Source organism: Homo sapiens, chromosome 18 (genome assembly GCF_000001405.40).
Source record: "Homo sapiens chromosome 18, GRCh38.p14 Primary Assembly".
In the NCBI taxonomy this organism is placed as follows: domain Eukaryota; kingdom Metazoa; phylum Chordata; class Mammalia; order Primates; family Hominidae; genus Homo; species Homo sapiens.
The window spans coordinates 33,324,754-33,347,960 of NC_000018.10; the positions used below are offsets into that span (position 1 = coordinate 33,324,754).

Here is a 23,207-nt window from a genome sequence, read left to right on the forward strand (position 1 = left end):
CCTTTATTTTCTTTAATAAGATTTCATAATTGTAGTCTTAAATGTCTATACCTTTATAAGTTTCTTCATCAATATTTAATGACTTGGTAGTAAAGGAATTTTCTGTTTATATTTTTAACTATTTATTGAAAGTATGGAAAAAAACTTTATTTGTGCTAGTAAAAGTATGCTGTATTGGATGGTTTAGTTCTGGGAATACAAACTTATTTTGAAAACAACAGTCTTCTATTTGGTGTTTTAATTATAATAATATTAAAATAATTTTATTTCACAATTTTTAAATGTATATCTTTTATTTCATTTTATTGTCCTATTACATAGCAAAATTCCCCAAAATGATGTTAAATTATAATAGGGATGTCAGGTTTACCTGATTTGTTCCTATTATTACAGTTTTAGCATTTTAATGATTAATATGGATGCTTGTGTGAAATAGTTCTTTATTTAAATTAAGGTGTTTTTCAAATTTTAATTATTATAATTGCCAGTTTTTGAATAATGAATACATTTTAAGCATCATTTGATAAAATTCTGTTTTTTAATCATGTTAATACAATAAATTATATACCTAGATTTTCTGCTGTTAAACCATTGGCACAGTGCTATAATACATTTCTTTGGAGTGATATATTTTTCTTCTCTTACACTGAAGAATTCTTTGGCAAATAATTTAAGTAATTTTTCAAATATGTATTTATTGGTAACTTATATATGTAATATTATTTTTATAGAATTTCCATAAAGTTTTGGTATTGAAATATGTCACCTTCATTTAATTTAAAAATTTCCCTCCTCTTCTTTGGACTAAATATTTAAAACAATATTGAAATTATTCATCTTTTACAGGTTAGATCATACGCAAGTGCAGTATCACCAGCTTTAGGGTTTATTATTAAGTGCAATAATTTGATATTTTATTTTTGAGTTTCCCTTTGATACTGGAATAATATCTACATACAAGATTTTTCTTGTGGTTAAGGTATTTTTGAGAGTATAATTATTTTTTCTAGTTTTATGGGGCGGTGATCTTACAACGCATCTTTTGAAATTTATCCTTCTAAATTTTCTTAAGTTTATTTGTTGAAGTACAACTTATATAGTATAGAATGAGACAAGTTAAAGTGTACAATTCAGTGGCATTCGGTGCATTCACAATGTTGTGCCAACATCACCCTTTTCTAGTTCCAAAACATTTTCATCATCCCAAAGGGAAACCCTGAACTCATTAAATGGTTACTCCCTAGTCTCCCCTTCCTATTTTAAAAGATTCTCCTAGTGGGAAGACACAACGCAGTGAAACTGGGCTAGATGAAAGGCAGAATTCTGTTACAGCTCCAAAGGAGAGATGGCTACCAGGTAGGGCTGTGTTAGGGGTTTCAGCTGGGGACAGGTTAGCAGCAAGCTGGAGCTATAGGGGACAGCTTATGGGTGGCAACCAGTGGGTGTGGGTAGCTAAATTTCAGGAGATCTCTGTGGAGTGGCTAATTTTAATCATTTCAGCAGATGCTGAAGTACAGGGGGTGTCCCTACTTGTCTGGGGCCTGTCTCTGTTGAGAATAGGATGGGTACATAGTGGTGTGGAATGTGAGGGCCCAGGAAGGGGTTGGATATGTGGGTTTAATCAGCTGCTCAAGAAAGGGAGGGCCAGCCTTTAGCCACAGCCTCAAAACTGGGTAAGACAACACAACACACTGTGTACTCTAAGGGGTAAAATATGTGCCTTGGCTACTCCATCATGCCTGGAACTCTGGAGGGGCTGAGTGTCCTTGGAAGCCTTGTTTTATGGCCTTAGCATATCTAGAGACATGTGGGACCTTAATTTATATTTTGGCTATCTATGAGGCAAGGGATTCCCAGAGTTGTTTACTCTAAAGGGGGCAACTCTTTACTTCCCACTCTGTATCTTGTTGTTTTTGGGTTTTTTTTCTTTTTCTCGTGTTTTGGGCTTCTAGTCACCATCTTTGTCTGCTAACTTATATTGCATACCTTCTCGGTGGTTACAGAAAAAGGGGATTGAGCAGCCCTCTGGCCTAACTTGAAGGCAGCCTTCTCTCTCATTCGAAGACATCAAGTCTACCTCCCAGGTATTGGGTTGTGCACTTAAAGAGGTATAGCAGACTCCCTTTGCGAAAACTCAATTAGCCCAAAGTATCAGTCCTTTGACATGTTGTAATGCAGCAGCATTTACTAAAGCCCAAGCACACTGGCTAGGGGTTTTGAATTTTGTAAGCAACTGGGTAACTTCAGCAGGCCTCTAGCCAGGGCCTTAAAACTGGGTCAAGATTGCATAATAAAAAAATAATAATTTTAAAGAGTTTTAAAACTTTATTACAAACAAAACATGACAAACAAAACTCGATATTACATTTCCCCCAGCCCTAGGTAGTCATTAATCCTTCTGTGTCTATGGATTTACCTATACTGCATCTTTTATATAAATGAATTACGCAATATGTGACCTTTTGTGTCTACCTTCTTAGCATAATGCTTTGACGTTATATTCATGTTGTAGCATGTATCAGTACCTCATTTCTTTTTACGGCTTAATAATATTTCATTCCATTGATATATTGCATTTTGTTTATCTCAGTAAACAAACATTGGGCTGTTTCTTTTGGTTATTGTGAATAGTGCTACTAATGAATATTTATGTACAAGTTTTTGCTTTTCTTTTTGTTTTTTTAGTCTCAGCTTTTGTTTCTTTTAGATGTATACCTGGGAGTACAATTGCTGAAGAATATTGTAATTCTGTGTTTAGCTATTTTAGAAATAACCAAAATGTTTTCCATAGCGGCTGCACTATTTTTGCATTCCCACCAGCAAATTACAATGGTTCCAGTGTCTCTAGGGCATCCTTGTTACTTTCCATTTTATTTTTAATCCTATCCTAATGGGTATGACTGGTATCTTATTGTGGTTTTGATTTGCATTTTTTAAAGACTAATGATGTTGAACATACATCTTTTCATGTGTTTGCTGCCCATTTGTATGTCTTTCTGAAGATATGTCTATCTGTTCATTACTATGAACAGATATATAACAGATATATGTATATCTGTTCATGGCAAGTTCTCTGTTTATTTTAAATTTAGTTGTTTGTCTTTCAGTTGTCAAATTAGAAGAGTTCCTCATATATTCTGGGAACTATATCCGTTTGAGATACATATAATTTGCAATGTTTTCTTTCATTCTATAGGTTGTCTTTTTACTTTCTTGATAGTGTCCTTTGATGCAAGAATGCTTTTAATTTTGACTAAGTCCTATTTTTCTATCAGTGTCATATCTAAGAATCCATTTCCAAATCCAAGGTCATAAAGATTTATCCCTAGATTTTTTTTTTTTTTTTTTTTTTTTTTTTTTTTTTTTTGAGACAGAGTCTTGCTCTGTTGCCAGGCTGGAGTGCAGTGGCGCGATCTCGGCTCACTGCAACCCCCGCCCCACCGGGCTCAAGCGATTCTTCTGCCTCCACCTTCTGGGTAGCTGGGACTACAGGCCCGTGCCACCACACCCAGCTAATTTTTGTATTTTTAGTAGAAACGGGGTTTCACCATGTTGGCCAGGATGGTCTCGATCTCTTGACCTCGTGATCCGCCCACCTCAGCCTCCCAAAGTGCTGGGATTACAGGCGTGAACCACTGCACCTGGCTATCCATAGGTTTTCTTTTAAGAGTTGTATAGTTTAAGCTCTTATATTTATGTCTTTGATTCATTTTGAGTTAATGTTTATATGGTGTAAGGTAGGGGTCCACTTTTATTCTTTTGAATATATATGGATAGTCAATGTCCCAGCATCATTTGTTGAAGAGGCTACACTTTCTTTCAATAAATGATTGTTCTTGCACCTTGTTAAAAATCAATTAGCCGTAGATGTATATGTTTATTTCTGAAATTTCAGTTCTACTTTATTTATCTATTTCTTTATACTTAGGCAAATATATTTTGCTTACTACAGCTTTGTAGTAAGTTTTGAAATTGGAAAATGTGACTTCTCCAATGTGGTCTTCTTTAACAAGATTATTTTTGCTATCTGGGGTTCCTTGCAATTCCATGTAAATATTAGGGTAGGCTTTTCCATTTCTGCAAAAGATCATTGAGCTTTTGTTCTGGATTGCATTGATTTCATAGATATTTTTAGGTGCTATTGACACTTTAACAATATTGAGTCTTCCAATTCATGAATACAGGATGTCTTTCAATTTATTCAATTCTTATTCAATTTATTTCAGCAAAATATTATAGTTTTTGCTATATAAATCTTTCATCTTCTTAAAATTATTAGTATTTTATTATTTTTGATGACCCGTATATGGAATTGTTTTCTTAATTTTTTTTGGATTGTTCACCACTAATGTATAAAAATATAACTGAGCTTTGTGTGTTGAGCTGAATTCTGCAAGTTTGCTAAATGTGATTTTTAGCACTAAGAGACTGTTTTGTGAATTCTTTGGTATTTTCTATATGTTAGATCATGCCCTCTGATAATAAAGAAAATTTGACTTTTTAATTTCTAATTTGTGTGCCTTTTATTTCTTTTACTTGCCTAACCACTCTGGCTTGAACTTTCTGTACAATGTCAAATAGAAGTAGTAAAACTGGGTATCCTTCTCTTATTTATGATCCTAGAGGAAAAGGTTTAAGTCTTTCACCATTATTTTCAGTATTACCTGTGGGTTTTACAAAAATGTCCTTATTCATAGTGAGCAAGTTTTCTTCTTTTTCTAGTTTGTTGAGGGTTTTTATCATGTAAGAATTTTGGACTTTGTCCATTGTTTGTTCTTCAACTGAGACAATCGTGTGAGTGTGTGTGTTTCCTTTATTTTATTCATGTGGTACATTAAACTGATTTATTTTCATATATTGTATCACATATGTATTCCTGGGATAAATGCCATTTGTTCATGATGTATAATCTTTTTAATATGCTGCTAGATTTGGGTTGCTAGGATTTTGTTGAGGATTTTTGCGTCTATATTCATAAGGTATACTGGTCTATAATTTACTTCCTTGTGATATATTTATCAGGCTTTAGTAACTAGGTAATGCTGACATAGATGAATTAGGAAGTGTTCCTTCCTCTTCCTCTTTTCCTTTTGGAAGAGTTTGAGAGTTGGAGAATTATTAGAGTGTGTGTGTGTGTGTGTGTGTGTGTGTGTGTGTGTGTGGTATAATTCACTAGTGAATCCACTTGGTCCTGGGCTTTTTTTTTTTTTTTTTTTGGTGGAGTGGGGAGGTGGTTAATCACTTATTCAATCTCTTTACTTGTTATACACCTGCTCAGATTTCCTATTTCTTCTTGATTCCATTTTATCTAGGTTATCTAATTTGTTGGCAAGAATTTTTACTATCTCAATGTATGTATTTTTATTTCTCTCTGAGGAAGTATTTGGGCCTCTCAGTGCTCATAATTCTGCTTTTCATTTTTGAGTATTGTCAGTTATGCTCATTTTATCAAAGAAAAATGTGTTTACTTTTACTAAGATATCACTTTTCTTCTACCTTATATTAGAGAGTTTTCATATTTTGGCTGCATGACATTTATAGCCTTTCTTAATAGCATCTCAGTTTCATGATGGGGAATTATTTTTTCTTGGGGAATTACTTTCCCTTGCATTGTACACCCACAGTGGATGGTTTCACAGAGTTTATGGCTCACGCTACAGAAGCCAAGAGGTCTAAACTCTCATTTTGACCCCTGGAATAGTTAGAAGGTCACCAGCTGACTTAAAAGCAGGTAAGCAGAAGCACTGATCTAGGAATTTAAGATGTGATGGAGTAGCACAATAATGATGAAATAAAAGAAGGGCAGTCATTGCATTAATGGTGACCATATTAGTCAGGCTTCTCTAGAGAAACAATCAATAGGAGCGAGGAAGATGGGGGAGAGAGAGAGACTGATTTTAAGGACAAGGCTCACACTATTTTGGAGGTACAAGTCCAAAATCTGCAGGGTAGGTTGGCAGGCTAAAGACCCAGGGAAAGGTTGCTGTCCCAGTCCAAAAGTAGTGTGCTTACAGGATTCCTTCTTGCTCAGAGGAGGTCAGTTTTTGTTCTGTTAAGACCTTCAGTTGATTGCACAAGGCCTACCCACAATATGGAGAATAATATGTTTTACTCTAAATCTACCAATTCAAATGTGAATCTCGTCCAAAAAATGTACATTTATTGAAAACATCTGGAATAATGTTTGACCAAATATCTGGGCATCATGGCCCCATAAGTTGACAATTAAATTAACTGTCATTTTGGCCCTGATAAGCTTTACACAAACATTGCTTTTTTTTTTTTTTTTTTTTTTTTTTGGTCTGCTAGCATGAATTCTTTCTTCCCATTCACAAGCCTGATCTTCCAGGTGCCTAACAACTCCACTTGCCCTGCTTATAATGTACCCAAGTTCACTATCAGTGAAAAACACAGTAAAACAAAGGGATACCAATTAAAACACATATAGACAAAATTTTAAAGAATGACAATAAAAATATTAACTAAATTGTGAGTTATACCAGTTAGGATTGAGTTTTGCTGTAAGTTATAGGAATAAACCAAATAAGTTGCTTAAACAAGGTTGCAGTTAACTTTCCTCTCACAGAAATATATCTGACTATCCTTTTGCTCTTCAGCCATCCTGAGTTGTGGCTTCCATCCCCAAGGTTGCTTCATGCTGTAAAATGGAAGTTAGAGCTGCAGCTATCATATCAAGGTTGCTGGAAGTTTAGTAAATAGCTTATTTGGCATTTTCTAAACTTCCAGCAACCTAGGTATGATAGCTAAGGCAAATGGCCAAATAGACTACCTATGTGAGGCAGTCTATTTCAAAGAGATTTCCTAGAATTTGCAGCCAATAACTCCTACCTACATCTCATTAGAAATACAATGAGAAAAGGGAAATTGAGAAATATCTTCCAACCTGACACATTGTCACCCAACTATATAGGGGTCTATTACTAAAAAAGGAGGACAGTACTTGCATTCTTGTCCACAGTGGAGAAATGAGACTTCAGTATTGCCACTACTTCAGTAATAGAAATTGTTATAGGCACTCTGAAAAATAACTTGATGTTATCTAATAAAATAGTAAATGTGTATAACCCACAATCCAGTAACTACCCAACTAGGTATATAACCCCACTAGGAAAAATTCACATGCAGATACAGAGGAAGGTATTCATGTGTGATTATTGTTTACAGTCAAATAAGCAGTTTTGTTGCCAGATATTGGAAACAACTCAGATGGCCAACAGAAGATGAAATGGTAAGTAATTACATTGTGAAATATCTATCTGATGGAACATTGTAAGTAAAATGAATGAACTAGAGCTATACATATCAACAGTAGCTTGATTAAACTAAAAAATTGTCAGATTAAAAAATAGGTTGCAGAATATTGCACCATGTATGGTACTGTTTGTGTGATTAAAAATACTATGTATTGTTTATTAACACACACGCATATATATAATTACACAAATTTGGCTTATAAACACATGAAATTCATTATAAAGATTGTCTTTGGTAAAGGAGGAACGAAAATGGAACTGTTGAGGGGAACACAGGAGACATTTAACAACTTGTTTTATTTACTTTAAAATGTTCAAAAATAAATATAATACAAATTTAAATTTGTTCATTTTGTGACAATTATCAATAAATTATTTTCATATTCCACAATAGGAGAGTTAAATATCTAATTAACCTTTAAAAATACTTTTATTTCATTTATATATTTTCATAAACAATGAAATTAATATATTTTACTTCTATTTTTGCTCAGTATGATTATGGCTTAAAAAAAAACCCCACAATTTTATTTTTCTGAAGTTCTTGTTTTGTTTTGCTTTGCTTTGAGACAGGGTCTCACTCTGTCATCCAGGCTGGATTGCAGTGGCACAGTCATGGATCACTGCAACCTCAACCTCCAGGGGTCAAGCAATCCTCACACATCAGCCTCAACCTCAAAGGGTCAAGCAAGCCTCCCACCTCAGCCTCCCAAGTAGAGGATACTACAGGCACAAGCCACCACATCTGGCTAATTTTTGTATGTTTAGTAGACATGGGGTTTCACCATGTTACTCTGGCTCATCTCTAGCTCCTGGGCTTAAGCGATGCACCCACCTCAGCTTACCACCCGAAGTGCTGGTATTACAAGCATGAGCCACCACACCCAGCCTTACCTGGCTATTTTAAATGACCAAAATTTTACCAGAAGTTTGACTAAATATGCTTAATAATCTTAAATATAATGGTAAGAAAAGAAGACATAGTTAAAATGAATACCAACAGTTGGTAATGTGTAGAGATAAAGAGCAGGTCAATTTTAAGAAAAAAAAAAAAAACCTTTAAAGCTGTGTTAATTTCTTATGGTTGAAAAGTTTTTGCATAACTAAGTAATAATTTATGAAATGCTCATGCATTCGTTTATTTACCTCCATTTTTTTTTTATAATGGTTCTTCAGATCTTGAAGTTCCTGATTCTGCTTAGAGTCCAGTAGAGGGCCATGTTCATTCATGTAGTCTATGTCTGCTTGAATCTTTGCATTTGCTTCTTCTAACTCTGTCTTTTGTTTTTCAAAATGTTGTAGTTGATTAGCTTTATCTTCAAGATGCCATTGTAATTCTATAACATCACTCAAATAGGCCTCATGTTCTAGATATAGAAGGATAAGAACAAAAGAAAATCTGATTGGAGGAAATATTTGATAATACATAAATATAAAACATTTTAATTTCAGAAATTCCTTATTTGTGAATCTTACTACTTTTTTTTTTTTTTTTTTTTTTTTCCGAGATGGAGTTTCGCTCTTGTTGCCCAGGTTGGAGTGCAATGGCACGATCTTGGCTTACTGCAACCTCTGCCTCCCAGGTTCAAGCAATTCTGCCTCAGCCTCCCAAGCAGTTGGGATTACAGGCATGTGCCACCATGTCTGGCTAATTTTGTATTTTTAGTAGAGATGGGGTTTCTCCATGTTGGTCGGGCTGGTCTCAAACTCGCGACCTCAGGTGGTCCACCTGCCTCGGCGTCCCAAAGTCCTGGGATTACAGGCATGAGCCACCGCACCCGGCCAAATCTTACTACCTCTAAAATAAAAGGTACTATAAAATATATTACTTTCTTAATTCATCATCAAAAGGATTAAAATATATGTTTCATAAGATAATAGTTATTTTAGTACAAATCCTGTTTATGTTGTATGGTCAATGTATATTCTGACCATTCTATAAAGTACTCTATGTAACTGCTTCAAAGTGAGAACTCCAAGAGTAGAGGCCTTCCAAAACCACCTAGAAGGAAAATGATGAAATAAGACTTACAAATATCAGAACGAAAAAGGCAAAAGTGATTATTATTTTCTTATAGAAAAACACATGAAATAGTGAAATGAAAATTATTACAAATAACATAGTTCATGTAAAAGTAACATAAAAAATGCTTACCTATATATAAATATGTTGAAAACAGAATATCTCACAATAGCAAAACTAAAACATAAAATAAACTACATAAATCTATTAATAAACCTAACATGAACTGGGTAAGGTCTGTAAGGGGAAAGTGACAGCATGCTATCAAACAACACAAAAGTGAATTTGAATAAATGAATAAAATTATTTTTTCTGTATAAAAATATTTGAAATTTTAAGCACAGGGATTTCCTTATATTAATGTATAAATTTAATTAAATCCCAATGAACAGAGAAGGACAATTTTAGAAAAAAACCATTGAAAGATTTTCTCATTATTTTAACTTTCTGGCATTAACTGAATCTTGCATTCTTGGAATAAAATTAGATGGGCTAGTTTATTTTCTTTTTTATCTTTTTAAAATAAATTTCTTGATGGAATTTGCTGATGTCTTTACCTGGGATTTTCTGCATTTATACTTGTAATTTTGGCCTGTATTTTTCTATAGTTGTGCTGTGATCATTTAATTTTGATTTATAATTTATGATAGCTTCTTATATAAGCTGTAGTTTCTTTTGATTTCTTTTCTCTAAGATGTTGTGGAAGTTTGAAATTGCATATTAAGCCCCACGGCCCTATGTATATATTTATTTATTTTGTGAGGAAGGATTTTTAGTTACTGGGTCAAAATCATTCCTTTAATGACTATATGAATATTTTGATTATCTATTCAGCAAGCTATTTTTCTCTGTAAATTTATTTAGTTGGTCAAAGTTTCAACAATATTCAAAGAAATTTGTTCTTAATGTCGTCATCACTATTAATCATTGCTATATCCCTATGTATTTTCATTCCTAATCTGAATCAGTTATACATTCTCACTGTGTTTTTTGTTAATTTTGCCATTGGTTTTACATTATGCTCTTTCTACTGAGCCAACTTCAGCTTTGCATCTCTTCTGCATTACGTATTTTTATTATTTTACCATTTTGTTGTTGGGTTTCTCCTTCTTTCTTTGTATTTATTTTGCTTTTTTCCCTAACTTCTAAACTCATACACTTTGATAATTAATTAAGTCCCTCTTTTTGATATAACAAAAGCTACTGATTTCTCTTTAATGACTTGGATTTTTCCCATACATGTAATGATACTTTTAATGATTTTTTAAATGAAATACTTCTAAATGTTTTTTATTTTCTGATACATGCAATGTTTGATAATATCTTTTTTTATGTTTTTTACCCTCACCAATTAGACAGTTAGATTTTTGTTCCAAAGAGTCAGACATTATCTTGTTAAGTATTGCCATTATTACTTCCATGAAGATCTTCTATTAAATATTCATGATGCCCTCTCATTCTATATGCCATGTTTTAAATATTTTATTTATATTTTTCTCTCCTTGTCTTGCTGTGATGCATTCCATGCAATTTCTTCAAGTTTTACAGTTAACTATTACTTCTCTCTGAGTCTAATAAACAATTTAACCAATTATTAAATTAATTTTATGTAATATATTTTTCATTTCTCATAGTTTTTCATTTGTATATTTTGCTTTCTTTAAAAAAGTTTCTTGTCCTTGCTTTTATTTTTAAACCTTTTCATTTCTTGAAATGTATCAAACACTTATTTTATAATCTCAGATATAATCCTATATCTGACACATTTTGAGTAAAATTATGTGGTCTGCTTCTACTGATTCATACCCATTGAACCTGTATCTTCATGTGTTTTATGATATTTAATATTGAGCTACTTCTTTTCTTGGAACATTATCTGAGATAAATTTTTCGTGCCTGGGTTGAAATTTTAGTCTTGTAGAGCAAATGTGCCTTTGATCCTGTCAGTTGCCTGACTTTACTACTAACGTACAGAACATTTAAATGACATTCTCCACTTAACAGTTTTTAAGCACACAGACAGCAGGCAGTGGGGGATCAAAAATCTATTTGAGATTAGTACATTACGAATGTTCAGGAAGCATTGTTTTCTTCCATTGTATAAGAGAAACAAACAACTTTCTTGGCTGCTCAATCTGAGCCACAGGTTGATTCATGGTTCACTCTTAGGCTGAGGATTAGTAGACCTTTGGATTCTCATTTTTATGTCCTGATCTCTAATTAGACTTGTCACTCTGGGTGAGACTTAAGCTTTATTTCCAGTATCCTGTACCCTACACATATATCAAAATGGCAACTCAAGGACATCAGGGTTTCAAGGATTCCCCCAGGGCTAAATCTAACACTGATGTCTATTTACTTCCAGAAATTTCCATTCCAAACTTAAATTTTGGCCATGCTACATTTCTTATGTTCTTGACAACTTGTCAGCATATTTTAAATGATTTGAAGAACTAAACTACATGAGCAAATCTGACAATTGAAATTATAACTTTGATATTACTGGTTTATTTTCTGAATTAATAGGTAAAATGAACACCCTATTCTCAAAACTCAATGAATAACTAGACAGAAAATTCTTAAGGAGATAAAACACTTGAACAGCACTATCAATCAAATTGACCTGATATTTATAGATAGCCTACCCAACAACAGCAGAGTATATATTAATTTGAACTAAACAGAACATTCACCCAGACAGATAAAATTTTAAATACAAATTAAACATTAAAAAAATGTTTCTATGGCCTTATAGTATAGTTTGAAGTTGGGTAATATGATGCCTCCAGATTTGTTCTTTTTGCTTAGTCTTGCTTTGGCTATGCAGACTCTTTTTTTTGGTTCCACATGAATTTTAGGATTGCTTTTTTCTAGTTCTGTGAAGAATGGTGGTAGCATTTTGATAGGAATTGCATTGAATTTGTATGTTGCTTTTGGCCATATGGTCATTTTCACAATGTTGATTCTATCCATCCATGAGCATGGGAGGTGTTTCCATTTGTTTGTGTAGTCTAAGATTTCTTTCAGCAGTGTTATGTAGTTTTCCTTGCAGAGGTCTTTCACATCCTTAGGTATATTCCTAAGCTTTTTTTTTTTTTTTGCAGCTATCATGAAAGGAGTTGAGTTCCTAATTTCTCAGTTTGGATGCTGTTGGTGTAGACCAGAGCTATTGATTTGTGTACATTAATTTTTGTACACAAAATTATTATCCTGAAACTCTGCTGAATTAATTTACCAGTTCTAGGAGCTTTTTGGATGAGTCTTTTAAGGTTTTCTATGTATACGCTCATGTCATCAGCAAACAGCAGCAGTTTGACTTCCTCTTTACCCATCTGGATACCCTTTATTTCTTTCTCTTGTCTGATTGCTCTGGCTAGGACTTCCAGTACTATGTTGAATAAAAGTGGTGAAAGTGGGCATCCTTGTCTTGCTCCAGTTCTCAGGAAGAATGCTTTCAACTTTTCTCTGTTCAGCACAATTTCAACACAACATGGTATTGGTATAAAAATGGGCACGTAGACCAATGGAACAGAATAGAGAACCCAGAAATAAGCCAAATACAGCTAACTGATCTTCAACAAAGCAAACAAAACAACATAAAGTGAGGAAAGGACACCCTATTCAACAAATGGTGCTAGGATAATTGGCAAGCCACATGTAGAAGAATGAAACTAGATCCTCATCTCTTGCCTTATACAAAAATCAACTCAAAATGGATCAAAGACTTAGATCTAATACTTGAAATCATAAAGATTCTAGAAGATAACACTAGAAAAACTCTTGTAGACAATGCCTTAGGCAAAGACTTCATGACCAGGAACCCAAAAGCAAACGCAACAAAAACAAAGATGAATAGATGGGACTTAATTAAACTAAAAAAGCTTCTGCTCAGCAAAAGAAATAATCAGAGGTAACAGGCAACCCACAGAGTGGGAGAAAATTTTGACGAACTATACGTTGAAAAAAGGACTAATCCAAAATCTACAAAGAACTCAAATCAGCCAGAAAAAATCAAATAATCCCATCAAAAAATGGGCTAAGGATATGAGTAGACAATTCTCAAAAGAAGATATGCAAATGGCCAACAAACATATGGAAAAATGTTCAACATCACTAATTATCAGGGAAATGCAAATCAAAACCACAATGTGATACCACCTAACTCCTGCAAGTATGTCCATAATAAAAAAATGAAAAACATTATAGATGTTGGCATGGATGCAGTGAAAAGGAAACACTTTTACACTGCTGGTGAGAATGTAAACTAATTCAGCTACTAGGGAAAACAGTGTGGAGATTGCTTAAAGAACTAAAAGTAGATCTCCCATTTGATCCAGCAATCCCATTACTAGGTATCTACCCAGAGGAAAAGAAGTATATGAAAAAGATACTTGCAAATGCATGTTTATAGCAACAAAACTTGCAATGCAAAAATATGGAACCAGCCCAAATGCCCATTAATCACTTAGTGAATAAAGAAAATGTGGTACATATACCATGGAATACTACTCAGACATACAAAGGAATAAAATAATGGCATTCACAGCAACCTGAGTGGAATTGCTGACTATTATTCTAAGTGAAGTAACCCAGGAATAGAAAACCAAATATCGTATGTTCTCACTCATAAGTGGGGGCTAAGATATGAGGACTCAAAGGCATAAGAATGATTTGTTGGACTTTGGGGACTTGGAGCAAGTTTTGGGGGTGGCAAGGGGTAAAAGACTACACATTGTGTACACAATGTACAGTGATAAGTGCACCAAAATCTCAGAAATCACCACTAAAGAACTTATTCATGTAACCCAACACCACCTGTTCCCCAAAAACCTAATAAAATAAATAAATAAATAAAATTTCCTAGTAAAATATAATTAAATTAGCCTTAACAGAAGTTTTTATGAAAATTTCAAAATAAATGCAAATTAACCAGCAACTTCTAAATAAATAGATTCCATAAGAAATCACAGGGATATTTGAAAAGATATTTTGAAGTAAATAATAATGAACTCATGGCATATGAGCATTTATAAAATGCAACTAATGACATTCTGAGAAGAAAATTTACAGCTTTTAACTGATAATTCTAGAAAATAAAAATGGCATCAAGTAAATAATCAAAGCATCTAATTTATAAAAAGAGAAATATAGAGGTTTAAATTATTCCCAAAGCAAATAAGATATGGGAAATCAGAGGAAAAAATTCAGTGGTATAAAAGCTGAAACATAGTAATCAATAAAGGAAGCAAAAGTGGACTTTTTAAAAAGATAAACAAAATTGACAAATCTTTTGCTTGAATGACCACGAAATAAAGACACAAGGCACAAATTACCAAAGTTAGGAATGAAAAAGATACCATCACTACTACTATTACAGAAATTAATTATAAGAGAATTTCATGAAAACATTTAGGCCAGCAAACTAGATAACTACAATAAAATGGACAAATTCTTCAGAAGATATAAATTACTGAAAATGACTCAAGCAGCAACAGAAAATGGAAGAGAGACCTTGATATGTTTTGGCTGTGTCCCCACCCAAATCTCAACTTGAATTGTATCTCCCAGAATTCCCACATGTTGTGGAAGGGACCCAGGGGGAGGTAACTGAATCGGCAGTGGCGGGGGGTGTCTTTCCCATGCTATTCTTGTGATAATGAATAAGTTTCATGAGATCTGATGGGTCTATCAGGGGTTTCTGTTATTGCTTCTTCCTCATTTTTCTCTTGCCACTGCCATGTAAGAAGTGCCTTTCACCACCGGTCATAATTCTGAGCCCTCCCCAGCCATATGGGACTGTAACTCCATTAAACCTCTCTTTCTTCCTAGTCTCGGGTATGTCTTTATCAGCAGTGTGAAAATGAACTAATACAGTAAATTGGTACCAGGAGTGGGGTGTGCTGAAAAGATACCCCAAAATGTGGAAGTGACTTTGGAACTTGGTAACAGGCAGAGGTTGGAACAGTTTGGAGGGCTCAGAAGAAGATAGGAAAATGTGGGAAAGTTTGGAACCCCCTAGAGACTTGCTGAATGGCTTTGACAAAAATGCTGATAGTGATATTAACAATAAGGTCCAGGATGAGGTGGTCTCAGACAGAGATAAGAAACTTGTTGGGAACTTGAGCAAAGGTGACTCTTGCTATGTTTTAGCAAAGAGACTGGTGGCATTTTGCCCCTGCCCCAGAGATATATGGAACTTTGAACTTGAGAGAGATGACGTAGGATATCTGGTGGAAGAAACCCTAAGCAGCGAAGCACTCAAGAGGTGACTTGGGTGCTTTTAAAAGCATTCCATTTTAAAAGGGAAACAGCATAAAAGTTCAGAAAATTTGCAGCCTGACGATTCAATAGAAAAGAAAAACCCATTTTTTGAGGATAAATTCAAGCTGGCTGCAGAAATTTGCATAAGTAGTAAGAAGCCTAATGTTAATCCCCAAGACCACGGGGAAAATGTCTCCAGCCATGTCAGACACCTTCATGGCAGACCCTCCCATCACAAGCCTGGAGGCCCAGGAAGAAAAAGTGGTTCTGTGGGCCAGGCCCAGGGTCCCCATGCTGTGTGCAGCCTAGGGAGTTGGTGCCCTATGTCACAGCCACTCCAGCTATGGCTGAAAGAGGCCAACATAGAGCTCGGGTTGTGGCTTCAGAGGGTGGAAGCCCCAAGCCTTGGCAGCTTCCACATGGTGTTGAGCCTGTGAGTGCACAGAAGTCAAGAAATGAGGTTTGAGAACCTCCGCCTAAATTTCAGATGTATGGAAATGCCTGGATGTCCAGGCAAAAGTTTGCTGTAAGGGTGGGGCCCTCATAAAGAATCTCTGCTAGGGTGCTGAGGAAGGGAAATGTGGAGTTGGAGCCCCCAACAGAGTCCCTACTGGGGCACTGCCCAGTGGAGCTGTGAGAAGAGGGCCACCATCCTCCAGAGTCCAGAATGGTAGATCCACCCACAGCTTGCACATGTGCCTAGAAAAGCCACAGACACTCAACACTAGCCCATGAAAGCAGTCATGAGGGAGGCTGTACCCTGCAAAGCCACAGGGGTGCAGCTGCCTAAGACTGTGGGAACCTACCTCTTACATCAGCATGACCTGGATGTGAGACCTGGAGTCAAAGGAGATCATTTTGGAGCCTTAAAATTTGGCTACCCCATTGGATTTTGGACTTGCATGGCCCTGTAACCCTTTTGTTTTGGCCAATCTCTCACATTTGGAACAGCTGTATTTACCCAATACCCATACCTCCATTGTACCTAGGAAGTAACTAGCTTGCTTTTGATTTTACAAGCTCATAGGCAGAAGGGACTTGCCTTGTCTCAGATGAGACTTTGAACTGTGGACTTTTGGGTTAATGCTGAAATGAGTTAAGACTTGGGGGACAGTTGGGAAGGCATGACTGGTTTTGAAATATGAGGGCATGAAATTTGGAGGGGCCAGTAGAATGATATAGTTTGGCTGTGTCTCCATTCAAGTCTCAACTTGAATTGTAACTCCCAGAATTCTGACATGTTGTGGGAGGGACCCAAGGGGAGGTAATTTAATCACATGGTCCAGTCTTTCTCATGTTATTCTCATGTTAGTGAATAAGTCTCATGAGATCTGATGGGTTTATCAGGGGTTTTTCCACTTTTACTTCTTCCTCATTTTTCTCTTGCCACCACCATGTAAGAAGTGCCTTTAGCCTCCTGCTGTGATTTTCTGAGTTCTCCCTGGCCATGTAGAACTGTGAAGCCCAATTAAACCTCTTTTTCTTCCCAGTCTCAGGTATGTCTTTATCAGCAGTATGAAAACAAACTGATACAGACCTAAAACTAGGAAACAAATTGATTTACCTATTAAAAATTTACTGACAACTTTGGGCTTAAACAGTTTGGCATGGATTAAAAAAAACTCAGTAAATGACCCTGGGTAGAAAAATAATGACTTCAAGGAAATGAAAAACTCTAACTTGAAACTTAAGAAGGTTTAGAGATCAAAATTCAGCTAAGAAATGAGTAAGATAACTGATCTAGAACCAGTGAAACTTCTAGGATTCTAGTAGAGGCAAAAAGTAATCAAGGCTTATTGGACTTCTACAGAATAAATAATTAACAATTGAAGATGAGATTACTGTGAAATATGTTGAAACCATAGAATATCAGGAATAGTTATAAGAAACAAGATATGATATATATAAGAAACAATATGATATGTTTCAAGTAATCAAGGCTTATTGGAATTCTACAGAATAAATAATTAACAATTGAAGATGAGATTACTATGAAATATGTTGAAACCATAGAATATCAGGAATAGTTATAAGAAACAAGACATGATATATATAATAAGCAAGATATGATAGATATGTTGTTCACTACCCTCTCCCTTGGGATAGAGATAATTTCTTATCATATAGATTCTTGTTTTGGATGTGATACTTATTTGGGCTGTGTCCCCACCCAATCTCAACTGGAATTGTATCTCCAAATGGATGTGAGAAGTGAAGGTATGCCAGTTCCAAGCTGACACTTTGAGCAGCATCCTACGTTTCTATTCACCCTTTTGTATTCTTGCCATTTGCCACATGAAAACCATACTCCTGGGAAGGTGCTAGCCAAAGAGGATGAGAGAGACATGAAGCTGACCTGAACCCAACATACAGCCTTGAGCCAGCGCAATTGGATCTGCGGCCTGAAGAAGAGCTTCCCTAGCCAACTCACAGAGCCATCAGCAAATAAGAAAATGCTTATTGTTGTAAGCCACTGAGTTCCAAGGTGGTTGTTACAAAGCACAATTGTAGTAATAACTGAATAACTGAATAATTAACAAAGACAAAACAATTCAAAACAAAATGGAAGATTTAACATTCCATTAATTACTGAGACCTTCTTCCATAGCAGTGGCATTCTGGTGAGCATATATATGGGACATAATTATCTTTGTAATCTGTCCTTTCTGATTACACCCTTTCTGTCTCACCCCCTGGGGTGATTAGCTTTCACCCTTCCCATCATGTGACTGGAATGCAGTAATTCTCCAAATTATGTCTACATACTATTCAAATTCATTCAGAAACCAGAGCTGTGATTTTTTTTTTCCTCTTTCATCAGATCATTATAGGAAAATACCCATGGAGCCATAGTGTAGATTATGGGAAAGACAGGTAATATATAGAAGCAGGTACGATGGGAATACCTGAGGAGCCTGAGTCACAAGTTTACTTGTGTCTTCAGATAATGTTTGGGTATAATATAATATAGGTACTCTTTTATTTTGCAAGGGAAAACTGCTATGCATATCCAACTTTTAATTTGTAGGATCATATACTACCAAATTCATGATGGTAAGCTTATTTCTAGTTATCTTTTTTGATAGGAAAAACAAAAAGCATTTGCTAGTTAATTGGCTACACGTTGGATGGCAAGGGCTGTCATTTTCAGGAGAGGCATGCAGTCAGCTTAAAGTGACCAGATGGAGAGTGGGGCAGTCAGTGCTATAAATTCCCCTGCCTCACCCATCTCCATTATCTCCCCATGGTCTCTTGCCACAGATTCCCATGGGTTGAGCCCAACAGGAAGACAGAATGCAAACAAAATCTTTGATGCAGTCCACTATGAATCAGCCTCCTGGCCCACAAAACAAAAAATCTAAGTGGGATTGGGGAGTTGAGGGGAAAGATAAATCTGGAAGACTGACCAGAAAATATCTAGAAAGAAGTGAGTTTCCTTAATTTTATTTTTGAAAAGTATCTAAATTTATAACAAATATAATACTTAACATTAAGTTTGTTAAGGAGATTACAATTTTTTCCTGTCTTACATGCTATATACTTTTGAGAATCTAAAGACTATAAAAATATATGTCTCTATACTTTGTAAACAAATTCATAAAATTTAGAGATTATATTCTACATAAATAATATAAAGGCAGAAGATTCCCGAGAACACATTACCTGAAAGGAATATGTTTCAAAGAGAAAGCTATTAACTTTAAAAAATACGGCCGGGCGCGGTGGCTCACGCCTGTAATCCCAGCACTTTGGGAGGCCGAGGCGGGTGGATCATGAGGTCAGGAGATCGAGACCATCCTGGCTAACAAGGCGAAACCCCGTCTCTACTAAAAATACAAAAAATTAGCCGGGCGCGGTGGCGGGCGCCTGTAGTCCCAGCTACTCGGGAGGCTGAGGCAGGAGAATGGCGTGAACCCGGGAAGCGGAGCTTGCAGTGAGCCGAGATTGCGCCACTGCAGTCCGCAGTCCGGCCTGGGCGACAGAGCGAGACTCCGTCTCAAAAAAAAAAAAAAAAAAAAAAAATACATAACAATAATGAATTTAAATTTCATTGCATATAGTGGCTACTTACGTAAAATAACGCAGACGAACATAAATCTGTTTTCTAAGTAGATCTTGTATTGATTAAAAGGTAACCCAACAATAAGTTGTCACCCATAACAAATATTTATTCCATAGTTCAAAACGTATTTATTAAGTACCTATAATGTGCACATATGTATCTCAATTTCTAGAACTCCTAAAACTACAATACCTAAGCACTATTACAAAGGGTATATGAGATTATATGTAAATTTATCAGCAAACAATTAAATAAAACCTTCCCTCCATATTTTTTCTACTACTACTAACAGGGAAGAACCTCCCAAACAATTAGGAAAATTGTGCATGACTCCTGTTGTTGTGAACAGAGTCTATCAAGAATCTACTGGGATCCAGAATTTCCCAGGGTGTCTTTTCTGACCCTATGGTAGCCTCATTGCCTCTAAAGCACACACACACACACACACACACACACACACACACACACACACACACACACATATATTTATAAATTATATAAATCTACTATATTAGTGGAGCATACACAGTACAAATTCTATTCAAAAAGAAAATTTCAAAAATGATAAAATTTACAAATATATATAAAAGTTCTAATCTTTTCTTGCAACTCTCTGGAATTCATACACCCTACTTTGGTAACTACAGCTTTAGAAGACATAAAATTATAACAAAAGTCTAAATATGAGTACACTATGACCTATAATTTGAATTAATGGCTGTTGGTCTGGGTAATAACTAATAATGTCCCTTTTTTCTCTGGAAGATTTCTTGGTTTAAATGATAGATCATATATGGGCACCCTAATATTAATAAAAAAGCTCTTACAAAACATGTGCATCCTGAATTAAAATTTTTATCCTATGAGAGAGTAAAAATCTTTCAGCTTCAGGCAGAATCAGGAAGTCAGGCATGTTTTCATAGGTACAGGGTTTGTAGAACAAACAAACAAACAAACAAAATCCAATACCTTTAGATTCTTTAATCCTTCACCATAGGTCCCTCACTCTGTGAGCTAAAAGAATTTCCTTTTTTACCTTTCGTTAAAGGTAAAACACTTGCTACCTGCATGACTCTTAGAAACATTTTAGGTTTTGATACCTGCTAGAAGTTCCCAAGGCAAATTTACTATTAAATTCTCAAAAGCATACGCATTTAGTGCCTAAAATATCACTTAAAACTCTTTCAATTTTCCTAGACCTAAAAATGTGGCTAATGACACCAACTGGCAATCACTTTAAATTCCTAAAGTTCTAGAAATTCAAATACTGTAGTCATTATAGGATATATGCCAAATGTTTGCATGCTCTGTGGGTACCATAAATGCTACTGGATTTCTAACAGACCCAAAGGACATCAGGTCCAGGTTTGTCCAGTGCAGTCTCACAGTTTTTATCTGTGAACCCAGCATTATCTTCAATAACATCTTTCAAAAGTGCTGGTTTATATGCAAAACAATATGGTCACTCTAAACAGGTGATATTTATTTATTTTTTGAGACAGGATCTCACTCTATCACCTGGGGCTCACTGCAGCCTCAATCTCCTGGGCTCAATCAATCCTCCCACCTCAGCCTCCCAAGTAGTTGAGACTACAGGCGAGCACCACCACGCCTGGCTAATTTTCGTATTTTTTGTAGAGACAGGTTTTCACCACGTTTCTTAGGCTGGTCTCGAACTCCTGGGCTCAAGTGATCCGCATCCCCAGCCTCCCAAAGCGTGGGATTACAGGCATGAGCCATGGCACTAAGACAATTTTTTTAAAAATATACAGACCTGTAATTAATTATCTGTGCCCCCAACAGAATAAGAAGTAATATAAAAATCCCTATTATTACCTTTCTGCACAGCCAATGGGAGTTCTTGAAGTTTCCAGACTGACCAAGAGTCAATTTTCATGTTAATCATATTCTTTCTTGATCTCTGTTGTTTTAAAGCTTCTTCAGCGTCTGCCCGGTCAGTTTCTAGACTTTTAATGAGACGAATGGCCTCTGAGAGCAATGTTTCCATTTCCTGCTTTAACTCTGGACACTTTTCATCTTAAACAGAAATAAATATTCACATTTGTTAATAAATCAGTCAATAAGCTGGATGATGGGAACATGGGCCTTAGTTGTATTATTATATTTTTCTATATATTTAATAAGAGAATGTTAGAAAAATGAATTACCTTTTAAAAAAGTTTTATTATAATACAAATATAAGATTAATTATAAACTTTGAAGACCTATTTTTAATAAACATTTTATAAAATAATTACAATAGCTAAATCTCAACCAATATTTTCAGGAATAATACCATTTTATCTGAAGGAAAAAACACATGTGCTATTTATAAGCTGTACTATAGAGGTTTATTTTAAAATCATGCTTGTGTGTCCTCCTATTCTATAAGAAAAACATATCATAATGATTATATCAGGTAAATACTGAATAATCATAATGGTTCCTAGAAACAAGACATATTCTTCAATCTCATCCAATAAGAACTTCTCTACTTAGCTTTGCCAGGAATTCATTGGAATTTTGAAACTCTATTTATTTAGTTGTAATACTAAATTAATCCTCAATTAACTCCTTTAATGAGAGATATTTGTGATTCCTGGTTCACAGTTCTGGAATGATGCGGCTTAATGTTAACAAAATTATTACCATGGGTACTCATTTGACCATTTATGAAATAAATGTGTAGAGCCCATTACGTTCCGGGAACAAGCACATGGTCTTTGCTGGAGATAAGTAAGGTAAAGAAGACAGATATGAGTCCTATCCTTGTAGGACTGATGCCTATAAACACTGACTTTTGCCAAAATGTTATATAAACACATAAATACAAAGTGTTAAGAAATAAGGCCCCGAAAGAACTGAGGCTAGAGGAAAAATAGCTAAACTGCACCAAGAAGAAAGAAAACGAATACATTTCTTTTTTATGTTGCTTTTGGACAATAAAGACAATGATTTTCTGCTAGATGGGAGTATTAAATAACGGTGATAAGCGCAAGCTCAGCAGTCATACAATCACTATTTTTTAACCCATTGGACTTGTCAAAGAAATCCAGCATGCTGCCTCAGAAGCATTCTTATAAAACCGGTTTCCCTATTTTTAATGCATAAATATGATTTTCTCTACACTGGTCCTTTATTTGGCATCTTTGAATCTATTGTTTTCTTTTGTCAAATTCTACCACATCTTGGATACTTTAAAATTAATTGTCTTTTTTAAATGAAAACATATTCACTCAACACTTGTTCTCCAGCCAATTTGTGATTCATATCAATTACAATAACAAGATTTCAGTCTGGAATATATGAATAAATTAATACCACTTATAATTAAAATACTTCTGATTGAATATATATGTGTTTTAGCAAAGGTGTTCATTATGTTTCTAGGAGCTGTCTTTTATACTATTTCAATAATAAATTCCAAAACAAATGCCGTATAGGTAACTTGAGATGCCTCAAATTCATTGTATTTAACATCTCATTTTTTTTTCTTGAGTGCCATCTCAGTTTTGCAGTTTCATATTACTGTTCTAAGCAACTACCTGCAATTTTTTAGCATAAGGCCTTGATTACAACAAATCTT

The 23,207-nt window shown here is 35.1% G+C and overlaps 1 protein-coding gene across 10 annotated transcripts in view; it reads right to left on the minus strand.

Annotated features, from left to right (window-relative positions):
- The window catches only part of CCDC178 (coiled-coil domain containing 178), a 503,635-nt gene that overhangs the window by 387,348 nt on the left and 93,080 nt on the right, over positions 1-23,207 (minus strand). For all 10 annotated transcript variants that reach the window (NM_001371120.1, NM_198995.3, XM_011525951.2 and 7 more), the window contains 2 exons: positions 21,458-21,658; positions 8,421-8,641 (listed from right to left, as the gene is read on the minus strand). In NM_001371120.1, the coding sequence (NP_001358049.1) occupies positions 8,421-8,641; positions 21,458-21,658 (422 nt within the window). The remainder of the gene's footprint in view (positions 1-8,420; positions 8,642-21,457; positions 21,659-23,207) is intronic.